The sequence below is a fragment of the Homo sapiens genome, chromosome 2 (assembly GCF_000001405.40).
Source record: "Homo sapiens chromosome 2, GRCh38.p14 Primary Assembly".
In the NCBI taxonomy this organism is placed as follows: domain Eukaryota; kingdom Metazoa; phylum Chordata; class Mammalia; order Primates; family Hominidae; genus Homo; species Homo sapiens.
In genome coordinates this window covers 118,088,461-118,110,997 of record NC_000002.12, presented here as the reverse complement: position 1 = coordinate 118,110,997, position 22,537 = coordinate 118,088,461, and the positions used below count along the sequence as shown (strand labels likewise).

Here is a 22,537-nt window from a genome sequence, read left to right as displayed (position 1 = left end):
TAGGATTACAGAAGTATTTATTGGTATTAACCAAGTCTGACTTCTACCTGGAAAATACAAGATGTATGAAACATATGCATCATTGAGAGGTCCCAATGGCCTTAAAGAAGGTAAAACAGCTCAGTGCAAATAAATAAATTTTACATTAAAAGTTTTAGCAGGGCTCTGGCTAATTTGAATTGTTTTCTTGCACTTTTGTAGAATTTATCCCCAGTTTTCAACTGTGCAAATTTCCATAACTTGAAATAATAAAAGAAAGCACTGCCAATCTAGCAATGTTAAAAAATGTTTCCCATTTTCTTTCATTGAAAAAAATAGGTTCTATACATTTATATATTTATCAAAATTTCAAAACAATTTTATTTTTTGCTATAATTATCTTATTTTCTAGAGGACCTGAAAATAATTTAAGAACACCAACGATAATCATTCAGTCTCACCGATACCACACACAGTTGACCCTTGAACAGCATGGTTTTCAGCTGTGTGGGCCCACTAATAATGCACATCTTCTTCCACCCCCGCAACAGCAAGACCAACCCCTCCTCCTCCTCCTCCTCAGCCTACTACTCAGCATGAAGATAGCATGAGTGAAGACTTTTAGGATGGTCCACTTCCACTGAATGAAGAGTAAACACATTTTCTTTTCCTTAGCTTACACTATTGTAAGAAAACAGTATATAATACATATACCATACACAATATGTGTTCATCAACTGTTTCTTATTGGTAAGGCTTCCCATCAAGAGTAGGCTATTAGTAGTTAAGTTTTGGAGGAGTCAAAAGTTATACATGGATTTTCAACTATGTTGGGGAGTGGTGCCCCTAACTCCTGTTGTTCAAGGGTCAACTATATTTAGTTTCTTTTCATCGTTTCTTGGTAACTTCAACCACATATGTTAATTTCATTAGATTAATCCACAGTACCATATTCTAAGACTTACCACAAAGAAGAAAAACAGACTCTTAACCCAGATGATAATTACATATTTAATACGTGTTGCTTTTAACAGCAATTTTTAAAGTAAACACATCATAGACCTTATAACTTATTAAAGATTTTATAGTGCTTACAAAGTTGATTCTAAAAAATATACCTTATTTGTTCTAAATGAATAACATTATCTGGAAGATATAATAATAAATTATAGTAGTATGTTTTCCACCACGATAGTTAAGATTGTGTACACATATTCAATATGAAATCCTCTTAGGATTTTCACACCTTCAGCCTGAAAACATAAAAGCAGATTAAAGTTTGGCATACAAGATCTCAGTCTGATAGTAATTGCTTTAAAACTCAAAGTGTAAAAATATCTACTTGACATTCTAGGAAAGCATGGCCACATGCACAGACACATTCTCTCACTCACTCCAACACACACGTGTGCACACATACTCACACCCCAGAGTACTCAGAAGATCTTGCCCTTGTGGATCAGACAACTGCCACCAATTTCAAAAACTAATGGAAAAAATTAGCTAAGAATATGTTTAAACCATACTTAAGAGGTGCTGGTTGCCATTAAGATCTTTAACATGCAGAGAATGCCATCTCAATACACTCTTAAACAGACTTGAACTATTCACTAATGGATACACGAATACATGAGAAATTATGTATTCATCCACCCCCAAGACTGCATGTAAGATGAAAAACCTAGGCATTCCACCAACGAGTCATATGACTGAACCCAGCTAAAGCTACAGTGGTTTGCTTCACAGAACCCAATAGAAGACAGAACCCAACAGATTTAGAAACCTCATTGTGATCTGTTTGGAGTTTCCTATATGCTCCATGTGCAAAAGCAATGAGATTCTGTATTGCAGATGACAGCTAATATCACTTTGCACTTTTGTGACACTGCAAGAGGTCACTGTATTTCCAAAACATGTATTTATTCTAATTAAATCCTCTAATGTTCCTTACTTTTAATTATATATACTGTTCCAAATTTAGAACCAAAACAATTTAATGCTGATAACCTCTTCTGCTCATCACATATACTTCCAGTAAAACCTGTCAAAACAGAAAATTACTCTTTGGGCTGTCTCCAGTAACGCAGGTTTGAAACCAGAAGTTCATTTTCACCCTGTATCAAAACACTCCAAACTCTATGAAACAACATTAAATTAGAAACTAACCACAAATTAGGGCACTCATAACTCATACTGCTGTGATTAGAAAAATAAAAAGGCACAACAGTAAGCTAAAGAGAAAATACCAGCTCCCCATATGCTTTTTGTTTGTTTGTTTTTGGCTTTCCTCTTATTTTATTTCACTAAGTCTACAAATTGTTCAAAGCATTCTTATACTCTGCATGACAGGAACAATATCTTGGCACATTAACATTGTGATACAATGTATGGCATGTTTTAAAAAATTAATTTAAAAATTTCATCTATTAATCAACACTTTTTAATGTAGTACATATATATCTTACAGTTATTTAAGTCAAATATGTAAAGGTTTACAACTGATTTACAGATGAAGCAATCACAGATTGCAGTAATATGTGTGTGTGTATATATATATTTATCCATATATACACACACGCCAATCAAGGGGAAAACTGCATCCTGGCAATTTTACAGTCTGAAGTTTTGTTGGTATATCTACCATTTCACATCCTTTTCATCTTGCTTTTCTGTACAAAAGATATTTTTTGCCTTCTTCATTCCTGATGAGATTTTTCTGCGATAACTTTACATTCGTACTGCAAAAATTAAAAGGTTAAAAGGTTAACAGATTAAGACTTCTTTTGAATAGCAACTTCCAAATAAACTGAAAAGCTCTAAAAATGAACATTTTATTACTATGTGCCCATTTATTCCTCAAATAATCCAAGAGTTACATAATTACTATGATTAAATGACAAATGTGACAGGGAAAAAAATAATTCACATTCTGGAAGTGAAAAAGCCACAGCCAAAAGCAAGAGAAAGATGAGATTTCTGCATTACAAGCAAGTAGTGGCAGTATATGATTTAGAATTTAGATCAATCTTTTAATGTCGAAAGGAAGCAAAGCAGGTTTCTTTGAGTATTCAATAAGGCAAATTAGCAAAGAATAGTTCATGAACTTAAGGATAGGGCTGTTGTGGTGAACTCAGATCACTGTATTTTCAAATTGCTATATGATATAAAGGAAAAAATCTGTTACATTAACAAAAGCTTCCAGTCAAAACAACATTTTTAAAGTACAGCTATAAAAATGTACACCCACAATTCAAAATAAAGGAAACCAACAGGGTAAGATAATTGGTTGGCTATTTTACCAAAAATACAGCAAAGTAAGTCACTCAATTCTCCTAACCTGGCTAAAAAGGTAAAAGTGACAGCACTGATTCATAAAACTGCTGTGGCCTCTGAATGTCACTCCCTAGCCTTTTCCTTTTCCTTCATCACTAAAATGATCAAACATCTTGATTTGTTAGAGGTGGTCCTAATGTATACCTATTGTAGCAACACACTTATTAGTAGTGACCTTTTTAACTTTTAAAACTGTCCTTTTCTGATATAGTGGGAGACCTGTAGATTAGTTTTTTAAAAACCACTAATATCCCCCATATGGTCAATAAATCATATTGCCCTATCCATAACACATTTTGAGTTTTTCTCTCCAGTGGCTCCTCAACTTTTAAAACACCTGTGATTAAATTCTTCCAAATGATTTATTTCAATGGAAGTGCAAAAAAGCAATCAAAGAATGTTGTCTTCACAAATTGCTTTCCCTTAAAGGACTGCCTTTTAGAGAAAACTTGTCATTTGTTCCACATCTTATTCAGAAAAGTGAGCATCAGCTTACCATTGCCAGTTGTCGACCAATGTTTCCCATTGTTATGCCTCCAGCAAAAAATATACATGGTAACCAAGAACGAACATAGAGGAAATCTGGAGATGTATATCTAGAATAACAGACATGTCTTTAATACCCACAGAGGAACTGCAATGACACTTAAGATAATTACAATGAAAATAAACTACTCTGTAGATTAAACTGGCTAACCTCATTTCATAATCTCAATTCTGAAAGCGGTTATCATTTATTTATCTAGCAAACAAGCACCAAAAATTGAAGGATTAATACTTACTGGTAAACACCATTATATACTAGCAGTTGAGTGACCACAGTTGCCAAGAAGGCAATTCCTACTCCAAGGCCAAAACCACTTCTAGATCTATCAAAAGTCCACCACAGTCCAATGGATAGTGCAGCCAGTGTGAGAGACAACTGTATGTTGTTATCGAAATCCACTTTCTGAGATCAGTGTTAAGAAGTCATCTTAAAAGTTGTAACCAAATAATATCATCTGTTCATTTTTCTAAATAAGAGATGCCTCTGTTGAGAAGGGAATTAATTGCTTCTACTCAAGTACATTCAGTCTCTTAGTACAATGTATGAAGCTAGGTGGGATTAAAACTGTCTCCAGTATTTACCCAATACCAGATACACAAAAGACATTAATCAATAGATCCTACCAACTGTAACCCCTCCAAAACAAAAAACAAAACAAAACAAAAAGAACAGTCTACATACATTCCCAATTATAAGGCTTTACCCATTATTTAAGAAATGCTTTCTTTGCTAAAAATGTAACTGGAAGCCTCAGAACACAAGTATCACTAAAGGAACACACTTTTGCAAAAAAGGAAACCAATATTACTTCTCCAACAGGTTTAGAATTACTTGAGAATCGTACAGGAACTTGAAAATAGAAGAGTTGACAGCTATTTAACAGGGTACCACATTCTCTCTATGATTTACTGACAGACACATTTTATAATAATGCAGTTCAGAAACAAGAGTACCAAGGACACAGTATCCCTTTCTATTATGTCAACTGTTCTAGTTTTAATTTGTTGAGGATAAAGCCTTGAAGTGAACATTATCTTACAACCTGCCAAGCTATTTTGGTGCCTGAGACTTTCTGGTATAGGACAGTTTGCTCAAATGATATTTTATTTTCATCACCTACTTAAGCATCTATTCACAAATGTATGGCCCTTTTCTACACCAAAATCTCTGGGTAAAATTAAGCTTTACAAATTCAGTTTTCTCATCTCTTTGCTAGAGGATTACACTAAAGGAATTAATTTCAAGTGTCATTAAAAGGGCATTATCTATGTCCCAAAGGCCACATCTTGGCTCTATAACCAGCTACTGGGGAAGGCGGGGGAGGTTTGGGAGAACACGTATCACCAAACTGACCATGCTGCACGTATAGAGAAATCCAAAAAAGAAATTGCAACGAAGCCATTTCCCACTTCCTTTAACACTCTTTTTCACCATTTCCCCACCCCTACCAAGCAAGTATCCTAAACACCCAGCTTGCTTATTTCTCAGAATCTCAGGACTATTGTGGGCAACTCCCTCAAGGTCCTTCCTTGTTAAGGCTTGATTTAAAAAGAAACCTACAGTTCATATGGGTATGCTTCTGGAAAAGCTTTTCTTATTGTTATGCTGTCATTATACTTAAAGTTCAAAGAAAAGGTTTAGAGCTCTGATTTCCCTATGAAATAAACACTCATGTAAAGAGTGGAATTTGGTATTAAATGAGTTTCATGTTTGCTAACTAAACTTAATTAAAAGTCACAGCGAAGTAAGGAGGCTTCCAGCGTAAATAGATATATCAATCTTAAAATAGTGCCATATGGGCCAGGTGCGGTGGCTCATGCCTGTAATCCCAGCACTTTGAGAGACCGAGGTGGGCGAATCACAAGGTCAGGAGATTGAGACCATCCTGGCTAACATGGTGAAACCCCATCTCTACTAAAAATACAGAAAAATTCACCGGGTGTGGTGGCAGGTGCCTGTAGTCCCAGCTACTCAGGAGGCTGAGGCAGGAGAATGGCGTGAACCCGGGAGGCGAAGCTTGCAGTGAGCCAAGATTGTGCCACTGCATTCCAGCCTGGGTGACAGAGCAAGACTCCGTCTCAAAAAATAAAAAAATAGTGCCAAATGATTTTGTAAAGTCTAAGTAACCTAATATTAGAAGTGTATGCTATAAATTTGGTAAACATGTTGGACTTTACTTGAAGGACAACAGGATATCTAAGATTGCTATATTTAAGTATTTCATTGAGAAAGAGAGTGAACAAAGCAAAGAATTTGAACTTATTAAGTTTTTAGAATTTCAGAAAAGGCTATTTAAATTTCTCTACTTAAAAACAAAAATCAAAGTGGAAGTGTCTAAGAGAGAAAGATCTAATCCACCGGACAGAGAGGAACTGACACAGTTTTGAGGTTCCTGGGTAGGAAAATGAGATGTTTCTAGACTTTAGTCAGGCTGTCTCAGGGCTGTTCTCAGCTCTGCTGCAATGTCGCAGTATAAATGACTTAGTAAATTACCTAACCTCTTTAGCTTCTGTTTATTATCTTTACAAAGAAAATGTGGAACTAGGTGATTTCTAAGTTCTCTTCTAGATATAATAGTATATGATTTTAACTTTTTAAGCCCTCCTGACCACTAGATTTTTTATAAAATCTTAAATCTCAAAAAGTTCACCAAAATAAACATGTGGAAATGTCCTCAATACAAACAGAAATTAAAACTAATAATAGCCACTGAGGGACTTCCAAATTCACAGACCTGCAACAGCCAGCACAACTGTGCAGAGGAAGGCAGATGTGTTTTCAGAATCTAGGACCCTGCTCTTTTCTATGGTTTCTGTCCCCAAGCTTATCCAAAACACCTCAATACTTTTTGGGAAAGACACAGGGGTCTACTTGACACATGACCCACCCTCTCTCTCCAGCTAGCTAACTCTGCCTGCCCCAAGTCCAGTGCAGAGTTATAAGAGCAAACTTTTGGCAGCCTGAGTCACACTTCTTGCTTTTCCAAGTACCCAAGGCTCCTGCCACCTTCATTGTCTAAACCACATCTCCTAGAAAAAGACAGGAATAGCATTTCCTAGTTCCTCTTCTACCAAGGAAAGTCAGAGCAAATGAGGAGGAAGTACAAGAGAGGAAATAAAGAGGATGATAGGAGGAAAACCTTATGAGGGCAAACATTTTTTTCTGGGCAGAGAAGGTAGAAAGGGGAAGGGGAATAGGGGCTACCTGAGACACTGTAAAAATACTCATTAACCACTAAATAAAATGTCTGAATCTTCAAACAATAAAACTTTGAAAATATGTACTAGGGTAGAAACTTATTTTTTGGCCAAGGTCTAAGTTGGTATTTCTACTTATGCCGTTTATGTGGTTTGTCGGTATTGATTAAAACCAATGCATCTACCTTTAAAAAAAAAAAGCTTCTTTAAGTTAAGAAAAACAAAAGACAAAATAGCACCTGAAGCTACCACATGTACTTATTAGCAATTCTTAACAAAGAAAGAGAGGAAAAAACTCCTCTGAAAATGTACCTGTTCCATTTTTGGATTAACTACACAAAAGTAATTAAGTAACCAAATTTAAGAAAAACAAGTAAAGTTTTCAAATTTGCAAAGTTTCTAAGTGATAGTGAAAAATACACAATGAAATGAAAGGCTATACCCCACTTTATAATTGCACAGCTGCTACACCGATGTTTCAACAATATGGTTGACATTCTTCTTCTGACTAAGTGGGCATATCATAATTTGACAACAGTGAAGTTGTAAGGGGCTGTTTAACCTTTGGTTTGTTGGAAGCCACTTTGTTATTATGCATTTCATTACAGAGTAAAGGATACAGCACTGGCATGATTTATACCAACAAAGACTGCTACACACCGCATTACACTGGACCACTCTCTTTTAAATTTATGTGGTTCTCCTAGATGTCTGTCAATGCAGGGGTATAATAACCCAATCACAGCTGTAGGGAAAAAAGAAAAAAATTAAGTTACCTCCAATGTTGTACTGGCAACACTTAAGCTAAAAGAATCACTACAACCACCACAAGCATTTTAAAGATTCTTAAAAAAAAAAAAACAAAAAAAAAAGTTATTTCACATCAATCACCGATATTTTTTAACTTACCTTCCAAAGGAAATGAAATGAGGATAACACCAATGAAGAAAGTATTGCAAATGATTACAACAACATTCTAAATTATAATCAACAAAATACTCTTCAAATGTATGATTCACAATTTAGCAGACTGGACTAAATGATTCGTGCTACTAAATGATTCATGCTACTTTTCTACTACTGATACCTACGAGACCTGAAAAAAGTATCAAACCAGTTAGCAGTTAAGTAATGTTCTCTCTAAACTCCAAACCATAAAATATTTATTATATGCCACAAATCTAAGAGAATCTAGAAGTATAAAAGTATACAACAAGCTCATCATACACACAATGTTCTGAAGGTTCTGGCTGGCCTCTTACGTAGATCAGTCTCGCCCCTACCAGCTTCCCGTTTTAGTCTTCAGCATGTAGCACCTTTTACTGACACTCCTTTCCACTCTAGCCCTTTAATGAGGCTGTAGGTCATATTGTCAAAGCAGGAAAACTCACAACAGAAATCTACAGGTAAGACTCATTCTGCACATAGAAACAATGGAGGAAACAAGGTGTAGAGGTATTTAAAATTTTCAGTTAAATTTTAAGTGCACTGTTAGAAGAAGAAATCATCTTAGTACTTCTCTTAGTTTTGGAAAGAACACTTTGAATGTTGTGTCATTAATTATACATAACTGTATATAAAATGTCAATGATTGAGTCCCAAAATATTCTCATCCCTTTCTTATTTCTCAAACCTCAACATTTTATTCATTTAGTGGGAAGGAATTTTAAGTGCTAAATTAGTTATTAAAAAGACTATTTAATGAAAATATTCTAATCTTCCTAAAAACAGGATGATTATGTTGTGCCATTCTGGCAATAAAGACACTACTGTCACATCAGTTGAAAAGCATGTTTAAAATAACCAATACCACTTAAGAGGAATCATGAAATTACAACGCCAAAATCTAAGTGCCTGAGGGACAAGAGGCCCTCCCCCTACCCAGTATTAGCCAGCTGTATCTCACAGGCAATGCATTCACTCTTCGAAGAAAAACAGAAACCAATTAGTATCAAAAATCACAGCCTAGCAGACCAATGGTGCAGCATTTGAAAAAGGCTGTGTGACCACCCTTCTATCTCGAGATGAGATGCTGCAATACTGTATGCATTTTCTAGTCCACAACTCTTTTGAGTTAGGCATGTGCTGAGTATAGATGGCTCACAGAACATCAAGAGATTAAGAACATATCTCGGCAATGCAGAGCTCCAATAACTATTAGTAAATCTAGAAGTTTCACACTATATTCCTATTTAAAAATCTGCTCCAAAATCCTGACAAGATTAACTGACAGGATTTTAAAATTTCTATACAAATAAAATGGCAACAAGCATCCCTAACAGTTGAAATGTAGTTAAACGAATATCACCTCTTTTTTTCTCAAGGGGTCATAAAACTAACAGCTCATTTGTCACCCCCATCCCCCCACCATATATATCCTCCCTTTGCCTGTTGCTGAGTAAAGTCAACTAAGAGCAGACATTCCAAGTCAATTTTCCTGAGCAACTGATGCCTAGGTAAAGAATTATTACATAGAGAATACTGACATGTATGTGCAAAGGTATAAATAAGTAAAATCGACTATATTTTTATGCATGTGATGTCAGACTTGCAAGTGAGAGACAACTGAGGAGAGAAAGCAAAAACACAAAAAGAAATTTAAACTGCCACACTGCCAACCCTGGGATTTGCCAATAAAAATCAAATCCATTGAGTATGCATGGTTCTCAGTTGCTCACTGAGAGGGAGAATTCGAAGAAGCTTGTCACTTCCCATTAAATGTCTTCTTTCTTTCCTTTAAATAAAGGCATGGCAGAGTCTGATAGCAATATATACAACACTGTGAGGTTCCACTGTTTGAGAGCTCAACAGAGTATGTCTGGGCCTCTTTTCCTCTTCTTGTACTTTTTTTTAAAAAAAACAAGAAAGACTGTTAAAATCATGCCTGTGTAAAATCATATGCAAACACAATCCTGCTTATAAATCAAATGGTTCTCTGATGCAAAAATCACATTTCTTGTGATACCTTTAAGTTATTTCCCAGTGACTAGTTACAGTCTACCAAAGCTAAACACTAAAGAAGTTTGTAAAATATCAGTAGTAAGTCATCACTTTTTTATGGGAATGTGCTTAAATGCAGGGAGGCACTAAAAGGAACACAGTTAAAGTCAGACATTTTGTAAGAAAACAGGAACTGAATAAACGAAAACACTCCATGAGGTATACTTCGACGCAAAACTATAAGATAATATTTTCCTTCAACAAATACTTAAGCCCTGACAATATGTCTGGTTCTTGGTATTTGCTGGAGATTTAAAAAGGTAAGGCCAGGCGTGGTGGCTCACACCTGTAATCCCAGCACTTTGAGAGGCCGAGGCAGGCGAATCGCGAGGTCAGGAGTTTGAGACCAGCCCGGCCAACATGGTGAAAACCTGTCTCCACTAAAAATACAAAAAAATAGCTGGACGTAGTGGTGGGCGCCTGTAATCCCAGCTACTCGGAAGGCTGAGGCAGGAGAATCGCTTGAAGCTGGGAGGTGGAGGTTGCAGTAAGCCGAGATGGCGCCACTGCACTCCAGCCCAGGTGACGGAGTGAGACTCCGTCTCAAAAAAAAAAAAAAAAAAAAAAAGGCAAAAGAGTAAGATACGATTCCAATTGCAAAGTGACCACAGAAACAATTAAATACAATCCTGCATTAAGGGCAGCTGACAGGACAGAGGGGTCCCAGGCTTCTCCTTGCCTGTGCTAGGGGAAGGCAAGGTGCTGGGCTGTCAGAAAAGCTTCACGGAAAGAGGTGACCCTTGAGGCAGGAGCATTCAGCAGTAAATGGCGCAGAAATAGTGCTCTCATTAAAGGGAGGTGGCTGAGGACATTCATGGAAAACTGGAAACTGCTGGTGTTAAGAGGAAGCTGTAAGCTTCAGACACAAAGGGAGCTGCAGGGTCCAGAAAGACTCTGAAGAAGAAAAAAGCAGTCAAGGGCCATATTATAAAGACTTTACCCTGCAGACAATGGGCAATCAGGAAAACAATGTCATCACTGTTGTACCAGAGAGAGGCCATCTTCTTAGCAGTGAGGGTACCATACAAGGGGGCTGAGAAAAGGGTGGGTGCAAAACTAGAGGCCGGCAAAGACTAAAGACTCCAAGCACAGCCATTGAGGGATGGACCAAGAAAGAGACAGAGGAAAGATGTAAGACTTGGAAACTGGATGTAGAACGGGAGAGAAAGCAAGGAATCTTACAAGGCTCTACAGGAATAGGGCAAGGGACTGCACAGCTAAACAGGAAAGATTTTTCTTTTCTTTTTACATTAGATATTATTTTCATACGTTTGGACACAACCAGGCTACTTGTGATTTTTGAGGCAACTTCTCTACTTATTTTATCCACACGAGTTGTCTTTTTCTATTTATTCTTTAGAAAGATTTCTTTGTGGCCCTCAATAATGCTGAAAAGATTTCTAATTCCAATTCTGGTGCATGGCACACATAAGGAAGTTAACTTGTAACATCAGCATTATCAAACTAAAAATATGGAATTAAGAAAAAAAAGTCATCAAAATTAGTTTACCAAAGTTCTCTATTAGTTGTCCCACCAGAACCACCACTAGCAAATTTTCCAGGATTGTGCTATAGAGAAAGGTGGCAAATAACAAGGAGCACTTTCTACACACAGAAGGTGGTGATTCTGGAGCCCCTCCAAAAGGTGGCTGCTCTATCTATGAATGTTAGTTGAACAGGAAAATCAAAGGATGATTATCAGTTTTTCTGACTTAAGATGGTAAGACCCTAGCGAGGTCTTGAAAATCCACGCCAACACATATACACAAAAACATATGCATATTACATACACACACAAACTCAAACACACTATGTTTCTTAAATCATTTACTTCTTTTCCCATGATACTTTCCCTAAAATAATGATGCAGGGGATGGCAGAGCAGAGATTTTGAGAGAATCCATTTTCCATCTCTGGCAACTTGGACAAATCTGATATCTTTCACTCTCATCTACTAAACACCATGACTTAACTAACAAAATTGGTAGCAGAATTGGCTGGAATCTAGATTTCCTAATGTCTCTCTACTTTCTTTTGCCCAAGTACCTTATGGTACAAACTGCTTTCAGAAGAAATACTTAAGCAAGAAATGTAAATGCAAATTCCCCAAATGAGGTTAAGTTTGTAAGTGTGACAAACCTAGTGGCTGGGAACAGGAAGGAAAGTAGTGGCTGAACTGTGGTATTAGCATTTGAAATTTTCCTTCCTAAAATGTAAGTTTATGGCAAAAGTGCTGACATTAAAGGGGCAGAAGGACAAGACAGCAGGTGCAGCCCTGTTACTCTTCATAGTGGAGGTACAATGAAACCTCAGTTAAGTTCTCCTGCCCCAGCCCAAATGCACAACACACGCCAGGGAATTCCATCTAGGTCTGGCACCCAGTCTGGAGGCTTGAAAAGTGGCATCCTGAGTAGGGGGAAAAGTGTGAGTAGCTTCCTTTTCCCTTCCCCAGCATGTGACATGTGGACCCAGTCACACCACTCACTGGCTCTGGGACCCTGGGCTCACTGGTTTTCTTTCTTCATCTCAGTGAGTGTCCTCATCTCCCCATAACAGGCACAATGCCAAACATCTCTCTCCCAAAGTTGCTCTACAGAACCCTGGGATTACAGGATGTACCTAGCACATTAGCAGACATTCAATAAACAACAGTTTCCCTTCCCTCTGTTCTATCCTGAAAAGACATGTATGCTCTTCCATGTCCCAAAAAGCTTCTACTGGCAGCCAGACTATACTATAGAAGAAAAGAAACAAAGAACTAGAAAAGTTGTTGAGAAAACGTTTTCTCTTCTGAATTTAAATGAAAGAAAAATGCATGAGGACCAGTACATACAGCAGAGTGATACAATTTAATTTGTTTTTTATTTGGACTATTTTTTGCCTTTTCTCTTGGAGAATGATAACCCTGGGAAACTAAGAATCACTGCCTTCATGACTTCACTTTTAATGTGAACGATGTAATAGTGAGACATCAGTATATAAACACTGAAGCCTTACTACAACAGTGCCCCTCTAACTGTGCAACAGGATTCTATAATTGTCCAGCAAGTTTCACAAGGCCATTCTAACACTTCCGTAAAGCGCAACCTCATCCTTCAACCTCCCGCTCTTGGATGGAAGCCAAGAAGGACATATATTATGTTGCAAGATATTCATTCATATATGTTAAGTATGAGACACCAAATGGGTATTTAAAAAGCAATTTTCTCCTTCAATCAGAATTATCTTCTACCACATGATTATGGTTTCCTTTTATTACTTTATTATTAAAAACAGTATTAATCTATTGGTCTTGGTCATTAGAAAACACTAAAGTGCTATCCATTGTGGAAGTATGGCAGCAATAAAGTATTGTGAAATGCTCTACTCTATGCATTACACACTGCCCACCACCAAAAAAATATCTAAAGTAACTAATAGGATACTAATTTTAAGCAAAGAGAGTCTACCTTATAGATGTCTTTAAATATTTATTATTCTAAGGTACTTATAAAAACAAGATACCAAGGAAAAAAGCATTTACAAAAATACAACATGAAGCTTTAAACTTTAATTATTCAAGTTTTTATTACTTCAGAAACAAGACTACAGCACATGCATCAAACCCTTAAAACCAAATGGTGGTGCTCATCATCCAAATAACTTAAAATAACACTTAGATGAGATGGGTTGAAGAAAGAACAAAATTAAGGGGTTAAATGCTTCATCCCTAAGGGAAACAGGATTGTTTTTCAGAATTAAATGTTAAAAGTTTACAGGACAGATAGAATGAGACAGAAGGGAGTACATACGTTATGAGCCCATTTATATTGCATTCTAGAACAGAGATAAATAATTTATGGCAACAGAAAGCAGATCAGTGGTAGCCTGAGGCTGGGGGTGGGGAATGGACTGCAAGAGGACACGAGAGACTCTGGAGGGTGATGGAAATGTTCCACAGCTGGATTGGCAGTGGTCATGTGACTGTACGCATTTGCCTAAACACATCAAGTTGTTCAATTCAAACGGGTCCAGTGTATTATACCTAAATTATATCTCAATAAATATATTTTCTTTTTTAAAAAGGTTTATTGCTCAGACAACGTCCATACTCATTTACCCTATTTCCTTTCTAAGCATTACAGAAACATCCTACACATACCTGAAGCCGTGCCACAGCATGGGGGTACCCACCATGCAGAAGAAAAGATGCTTGCAATCACATCAGGTGGAAAGAGCGTCACATTTCTCTGAATCTGAAGTAAATTTAACACTAATGCAAGAAATACTCCAATAAAAAATAGCACTACTCCTCGAATCATCAAGTTCACACTCTGGCTAGTGACAGATGAAATATATGGGCCACACTTTTTGGGCCCAGGTGACTCTGTCTCTCCTTCTGCCATGGTTTCATAGGTTCAGAAAGCCGTTAAAAAAAAAAAAATGGAAAGGCTTCCCAGCTGAAAAGCTCAACTGTCTGTGAATCAAAGACTGACGCTTCAACGGTACCACATCTTGTCCTAAAGTAGGACCTACCAGAAATCCTGCAAGAGATAAGAAAAAAGAAATTAATGTGTATCTAATACATGATTATTGTAATTTTACTGATTTCAATACTAGTTAATTTAAATGGACAAATAAGAAAATGACAAGCTTGTATACTAATTTATTCAAATTACTAACAGTTATTTATTGAATAAGAAAAAGTTTTAAAAGTATTTTTATATGCAAGACGTAATAAAAAATAAAGTACTACCCTTACATTTCCTAGGACAGAAAACATGACCTAAGAGACCTGAAGGTTAGAATCATAGTAGAAACAGCTTGCTCCATCTCTGAGAAAAGCAGAACAGGTAATCTGACACTTCCACTAGAATCTGGAGGGTAAAACCCTGCTCTCTGTTTCTTCTCCCTAAATCTCTAAGCCTATCAGTTACAATACTGTATTTTATATTTTACAGATAAGCATATTCTGACTGAAGACGCTGTATATTTTGCAATAAAATGTTACTTGCTTACAAGGACAACCTCCACAGAAGAACAAAATAACCCGCTTTAATGTTTATTATTTGGTTATCCGCACAAAAACATTCTACAAAACCAGACCACCACGCACACACCTACATATACACCAAACACAGAAACCAGACCTGACTCACTCTCCCCAGGGGCACAACTGTATCCCACTCCTGTCTCAACAGTCTGCCCTTGTTGCAATCACAGAAGGGATTGTAAGAAAGCTGGAGGACGAAGCAAAAGAAAGGAAGTGAAGAAAATGAAGAACAATCTAATGGCTAGATTCTAAGGAGTTTTATCCACTTGGTCCCTGACTCCTAAAACCTAAAACTTTGCTACTACAATCAGTCTAGGTACTTGTTCATTCCTCTAACCAAAGTGATCTTTCCTTTTGGGGCTTTCTATGTGCTGTTTTAAGCACCTGACATGTGGTAATTCATTTAATCCTCACAATAACCTTCAGAGGTAAGTGCAATTATTATGTACATTTTATAGGTGACGCAAAAAAGCAAAGAAAGGTTAAGTCACTTGACCTAGTTCACATCTCCAGTAAGAGGCCAAGCTGGGATTCAAAACCATGCAGTCTGACTCCAAAGCCCTCATTCTTACCATGATGTTCAGTCTCCCAAACTGTCACATATTTGATATGTTTTCTATGAATACTAACAGTTTTTAAATGGGAAAAATACTACACAGGTAATTTACTTTTATCCCATCCAACAATATATCTTTGGCACTTTCATAAATCGGTACAGAAATGATATTTCCTTCAATCCAAAAGCAGTTTATTTTAAAAAGTGTAGCACTTATAATGACTACTTTCTAATTAAAGGTATAGTTGCTTTATGGATTGTAAATGTTTTATGAAGGTCTTATTCACTATTATATTAATATCACTGTGCCTATGCACCCAGAAAAGTTCCTGCTTAGCCCACAGTGGGAGCTCCACATAATCATATTTGCTTAATTAAATTGGGTTAACTCTTTCTGAATCAAACCATATAGGGTAAAGTAGGCCTTTTTGAGAGCAAACCTAGCTCCTAATCATCACATAAAATTTATACATTTCCTCTGAGTTTTCCAGTATCAAACAACCTTTGAATGAATTTTGGAACAAAGCCCTCATGTAAACCGCAGAGAATGGGGCTGAATTACAAATAACTAGTATGAAAATGAGAATATCTGTAAGTACTAGTAACCTCCACAACCTGTCAGTTCCATGTGATAAACACTTAGACAACGGGCCTTTTTACTGGGGCTATGCCACATCAAAGCTCTGTGTTCAACATTCAAGAGGAAATTCTGTTCCCAAGCTAGTCCTCACTGACCTACTTAGTCTATAATGTAATTGAACTCTATGGCTTAAAGGACTAAAAAAACTAATCCACAGTATAGCTAATTCATGGGAAAACATACTCTAAATACCAACTGAAAATGCCCTGAAACATCTCCTCCTGACCTGATCCTGCAGACCATTCCTTGCTGTGGAATCCAGGCATATGAGCATGCCATGCATTCTGGTTGCTTTCAGCAAGGTTCAGTAGCTACAGAACTCTCCATCATCATCATCATCATCATCTGGTTGCTTTTGGCAAGGTTCAGTAGCTACAGAACTCTCCTTCATCATCATCATCATCTGGTTGCTTTTGGCAAGGTTCAGTAGCTACAGAACTCTCCTTCATCATCATCATCATCATCATCATCATCATCATCTGGTTGCTTTTGGCAAGGTTCAGTAGCTACAGAACTCTCCTCCTCCTCCTCCTCATCATCATCATCATCTGGTTGCTTTTAGCAAGGTTCAGTAGCTACAGAACTCTCCTCCTCCTCCTCCTCCTCCTCATCATCATCATCATCTGGTTGCTTTCAGCAAGGTTCAGTAGCTACAGAACTCTCCATCATCATCATCATCATCATCATCATCATCATCATCATCTGGTTGCTTTTGGCAAGGTTCAGTAGCTACAGAACTCTCCTCCTCCTCCTCCTCCTCCTCCTCCTCCTCATCATCATCATCATCATCTGGTTGCTTTTAGCAAGGTTCAGTAGCTACAGAACTCTCCTCCTCCTCCTCCTCCTCCTCATCATCATCATCATCTGGTTGCTTTCAGCAAGGTTCAGTAGCTACAGAACTCTCCTTCATCATCATCAACATCATCATCTGGTTGCTTTTGGCAAGGTTCAGTAGCTACAGAACTCTCCTTCATCATCATCATCATCTGGTTGCTCTTGGCAAGGTTCAGTAGCTACAGAACTCTCCTCCTCCTCCTCCTCCTCCTCCTCATCATCATCATCTGGTTGCTTTTAGCAAGGTTCAGTAGCTACAGAACTCTCCTCCTCCTCCTCCTCCTCCTCATCATCATCATCATCTGGTTGCTTTCAGCAAGGTTCAGTAGCTACAGAACTCTCCATCATCATCATCATCATCATCATCATCATCATCATCATCTGGTTGCTTTTGGCAAGGTTCAGTAGCTACAGAACTCTCCTTCATCATCATCATCATCATCATCTGGTTGCTTTTGGCAAGGTTCAGTAGCTACAGAACTCTCCTTCATCATCATCATCATCATCATCATCATCTGGTTGCTTTTGGCAAGGTTCAGTAGCTACAGAACTCTCCTCCTCCTCCTCCTCCTCCTCCTCATCATCATCATCTGGTTGCTTTCAGCAAGGTTCAGTAGCTACAGAACTCTCCATCATCATCATCATCATCATCATCATCATCATCATCATCTGGTTGCTTTTGGCAAGGTTCAGTAGCTACAGAACTCTCCTTCATCATCATCATCATCATCATCTGGTTGCTTTTGGCAAGGTTCAGTAGCTACAGAACTCTCCTTCATCATCATCATCATCATCATCATCTGGTTGCTTTTGGCAAGGTTCAGTAGCTACAGAACTCTCCTCCTCCTCCTCCTCCTCCTCCTCATCATCATCATCTGGTTGCTTTTAGCAAGGTTCAGTAGCTACAGAACTCTCCTCCTCCTCCTCCTCCTCATCATCATCATAATCTGGTTGCTTTTAGCAAGGTTCAGTAGCTACAGAACTCTCCTCGTCCTCATCATCATCATCATCATCATCATCTGGTTGCTTTTAGCAAGGTTCAGTAGCTACAGAACTCTCCTCCTCATCATCATCATCATTATTCTTTATAGGGCACCCATTTATGGAAGGCCTACTCCCTGCCAGACATATAGTAACTCTACTCTTCAAAACAAACATAAAGGTAGACATTATCATCCTCATTTTACAGATGAGGCTACCAAGTCAAAGAGATTCAGCAATTTGCTTATGGTCACATGACATGCAGTATCAAAACTGAAATTCCACTTCAGGTCTGATTCCAAAACCCATCCTCTTGCCTCTATACCTTGAATTCCATTCCATCTCAACTGCTCAGACTTCTTTTTCGGCAGATGGTTCTATATAAAAGTGTTTGGTTACTGAAAAGATGGTTAGATGTTGAAATACCATCTCAACTATAATACACTCTCAGATAGTAAGCCAAAACAAGCAGGTGACTATACAATTGCACAAAGATGATGAGAATAAATGTAAAATCACCTTGAAATTTTCTTTAATAGTACTAGATCAAGGTGTGAAAATGTTTTAAAGTAAAAAGAAAAAATAGCAAACTAACACTCTGTATAAGAACATTAGTTGACTCTTTACTTCCCCAGATCCCAGTAGACACAGCACGTTGCCCTCACGTGCTGCTAACAGCTGCTAGAAGATGGGCATACTTTGAGTAACCCACATTGAGACAGCGTATCATTTGTTTCTGTTTGTGATTTTTCCAAAAGGGAATTAATGGAAAGGGGTATTTTATGTTTAATAGTATTTTTAAAAAGGAAAATAACTTCAGTTTAAAAAAGCTATTTCAGTCATGCTAGCCCCCATCTCACACTGACCAGCATTTGTCAAAGGGCACTGATATTTTAGGCAGGACAATTATTTGCTGTGTGAGACTGTTCTAAGCATTGCAAAACATTTAGCATCCCTGGCTCCCACCCACTAAATGCCCCCTCCCCTATTTGTGATAACCAAAACTGTCCCCACAATGAGAGCCACTGATTGCTACAGACTTCATTCTATTTCAAGACAGCTAGAGACTTTCTGTTTATTTATGTTTTCTACCACAGCTGCTTATTTAACCTTTCCTGGCAGTGCTTGTTTAGTTTTCTACTTCGCCCCAAAAGTTTTCCTTAAAAATAACACATTTGCTTGACATTTATTTGAATGAGATTCAAAAAGCTAATTTTGTAACTACATCATAATACAATAGTATATAATTACTGGTGACAAAAAATAAAAGCTTTAAGAAATAGCAGGGAACTGGGAAATCATCTATTCCAAGGGGTATGAGACCCCCATGCGAAACAAAACAAAAAAGTTGTATATATATGCATTTTTTTCTGGGATGAAAGTTCCATAATTTATATAAAGTACTCAAAAAAGTCCATGATCCAAACAAAGTAAAGAATCAGTAATCTAACAATTCTCTCACTCTATTAGCAAGGCCAATGACATGCAAAGTAGTCAACTGGATTAACAAGATTAAGACAGTACCATCAGTTCTTATTACCACAAACGTGTATAGTGAATGCCAGAAAATGACCAGACTCATCAAAGGGATAGAGGCGTCCACAAAACCATTTCACCCCCTACCATGCAACAATGAAATTCCTTTAAAAGCATGTTTATAATATCAGTTGCACACTAGAGGAGTCAGAGGAGTGGGTTATTTTCAAGGGAAAGTAAGCTCCCTTAGTTTACTTTGAAGTTTGTTTTTCTGATTTTGTACTGATACCATTTTCTTAAAACAAAGTGGATCTATATCTTTAAATATTAGTCTTACATTAATGATAAACTTGATGCTCCAAAATTTTTTTTAAAAATCTATATTTGAAAAATTTAGATTACTTGACAAATAATTTGCTGACCAGGGAAAAAGTCTCTGGTATAAAGATACTGTTTAAAGGACAATATGTCAATAGATTCTCGAAAACAATCTTGGTAAATAGGCAGGTGTTGTTAGTTTCCATTTTACAAAATAAAATAGGTTAAGTAACTTTCCAAGATCACAGAACTGTTACCAGGTAGCACCAGGACTAGGCTCACCCACTCTGACCCCATGTCCGGAGTTCTTCCTGCTTCACCACACTGCTTCCATTCACAAACATGGTACAAAACAATTTAAGTGCCACACAAGAAACCGTTTTTAAAATCATGTTGGTAAACTACTATTAATACCAAAATAATGTTTTCAACAATTCACAAAGAAAAACTTTCCACCAGACTTGAAAAATTCTACGCTGAGCCCTGGCCTAAAATTTCTGGAAAGTACAATACTAAACAAAAAGAAAAAAAGTTGAAATAATTTGCATAGATCAATGATGAATCATCAATACTGGAAAAACATTATTCCAGGTGTATGGCTGCCTATTAATGGATTGATATTATTACTTTCAGGTTAAAAAAGAGTTATAAGTGATTATGAGCTTCGTGAATAAAAATCAAGGTTCATGTTGGCCACTGAAACAACTTAGAGGCAACAAGCATTTGAAAACAAACACACATACAAAATCTTCTAGTAACCTTAAGAACCTGTTGCATTGTAACAACTGCAACACCCCCTAAAACCAAATGACAAGACCATTCCTCTTCCAATGATTAGCCGTAAAAGAAGTATTTTTACTCCCTCAGATAACCCTGTTTCTTCAGGTGCTTAGGTCACGTAAGCTACTAAATAATAAAGTTAAATTACTACCTCACATATTTTTCATCATATGCTCTCTTAATTAGAATAGCATTCTTGAAATAGAATAAGCACTAACATTAGAAAAAAACAGACTTAAATCAATGCAACAGTTTAATGCTCCCTAAATAAAAACACATCTACATGTATCATGGGCTAGAGACGTTAAAAATTTCTAGGAAGAAAAGCAATATTTGCCTTATAAACACTGCAACTCTTTCCTCTCAACATTAAAACCCAAACATAGAAACCAGTAAGTTAGCTGCATTTACAGCCCCTTACAGGTTTTAAATGTCACATCTCAGTGCCTAAAAAAGTTACTCCATCGTTTCGAGATAAGTTTCTGAGAACAAAGAAAACTCTTTAAACTACTGAACTGCATTTTATTCTTTCCTTTTCCGTGTGACCATCTGCAAAAGCAACAGTTGTCAGTTAAACAGAATCAACCTCTTTCCCGAGTGGACATGATTCACAGCTTGGTCACTGTACAGCAGATGTGAACTGAGAACTACGACATAACACAATGACAAAACACAGTACTGAGCACAAAGTACAGGGAAAGAATGAAAGACAGAAAACAGGAAGAGCACACGTCTGATTTTTGTTTTCTTTGGGGCCCCCATTAGTAGCATTCCCTTCATCCATCTTCATTCAGTGGTTCACTATCAGGGCCAAACCCAAAAGTTACAAAACACCATCTAGCTACTGTCTGGCTGCTTTTATTTTTTCTGCACCAGGACGGGAGCACGCATTCCCCTGCAGTCCTCAGCTCCACCGCAATACTGATACCAAACAGTTTCAGTGGCCCAGCTGCCAAGCCTAACCATTCCTTTTTAAAGCATTTCTTCATCAATCCTACAAAACAGCAAGTTCTTCATGGTATATTTTCCTAGAGCATCTAGCTAATATCATACTTTAACAACTTTTTCCAACGTTAACTGGACATGGGTCATTATCACTTAAGTGTTAGCGCCATTGCCCGCGCCCACTCCCATAATCCACACTGCTTTCCTTCTCCATATTGCCAATCCCCACTAAGCAACCCTAAAATCTAGTAATTATCATCAAATCCACTTCTAGGCCCTGGCAAGAATTATTTGGCTTTACCGAAACACCTATTCCATAGGTAACCAATTCCAGTCAAAAATGCCAGAGTATTACTCCTCAACCCAATGCCCTATCTCCTTAGTGGATTATAAACTTACTACGACAACCTGTCTTCTTTGGATCCAATCCCCGCCCAAGTCTGAGTCTTCTCTCCCAGGCTACAAGCCCCCAAGTCCTGGCAGCTCTATGCTTGACAGCTCGCTGACCTCCACCTCATCAGACCATTGGGTCGCCCTTCTCGCCGTCCTCCAGCCTTCTTCCCGCTCAGACACTCATCCACTGTCCGGGGAGCCTCGACCCCTCCTATACCCCCTCCCCGATCCCGCAGTCCCCTTCTGGACCTTGCGGACCCCTCTCAGGTAAGCGGAGCCCCTTGCCCTGCAGGCCCATCAGTGGTCCTGGCTCCCCGCACCTGCCACCAGGGTTCCCAGGCTGCAAAAACACAAGTAGTTCTTCTTCCCAAGGGCCACCCTCCTCCTCAGGCCGCTTTCCTCAGCACCACGTCACCCGCGCTTCGCCGGGAGACCCCCAACTCACCCCCGCCTCCGCCATCTTCTGGGACCAGCCCCCGTACCCCCTACCGCCTCTTCCTCCTCCACTCCCACAACTCCGCCCGAG

The 22,537-nt window shown here is 37.9% G+C and overlaps 1 protein-coding gene across 7 annotated transcripts; it reads right to left on the bottom strand.

Annotated features, from left to right (window-relative positions):
- On the bottom strand, window positions 1-22,527 carry INSIG2 (insulin induced gene 2). 7 transcript variants are annotated; one of them, XM_047444640.1, is made up of 6 exons: window positions 22,018-22,527; window positions 14,198-14,579; window positions 7,677-7,801; window positions 4,095-4,261; window positions 3,809-3,908; window positions 1-2,717 (listed from the first exon to the last, which is right to left on the bottom strand). In XM_047444640.1, the coding sequence occupies exons 2-6, from the start codon at window positions 14,439-14,441 to the stop codon at window positions 2,676-2,678; spliced, it is 678 nt and encodes a 225-aa protein (XP_047300596.1). In that variant the 5' UTR covers window positions 14,442-14,579; window positions 22,018-22,527; the 3' UTR covers window positions 1-2,675. The 7 variants fall into 7 exon arrangements, with proteins under 7 accessions (XP_047300596.1, NP_057217.2, NP_001308260.1 ...); NM_016133.4 differs by having other exon boundaries at window positions 22,457-22,527; NM_001321331.2 differs by having other exon boundaries at window positions 14,572-14,579; window positions 22,457-22,527.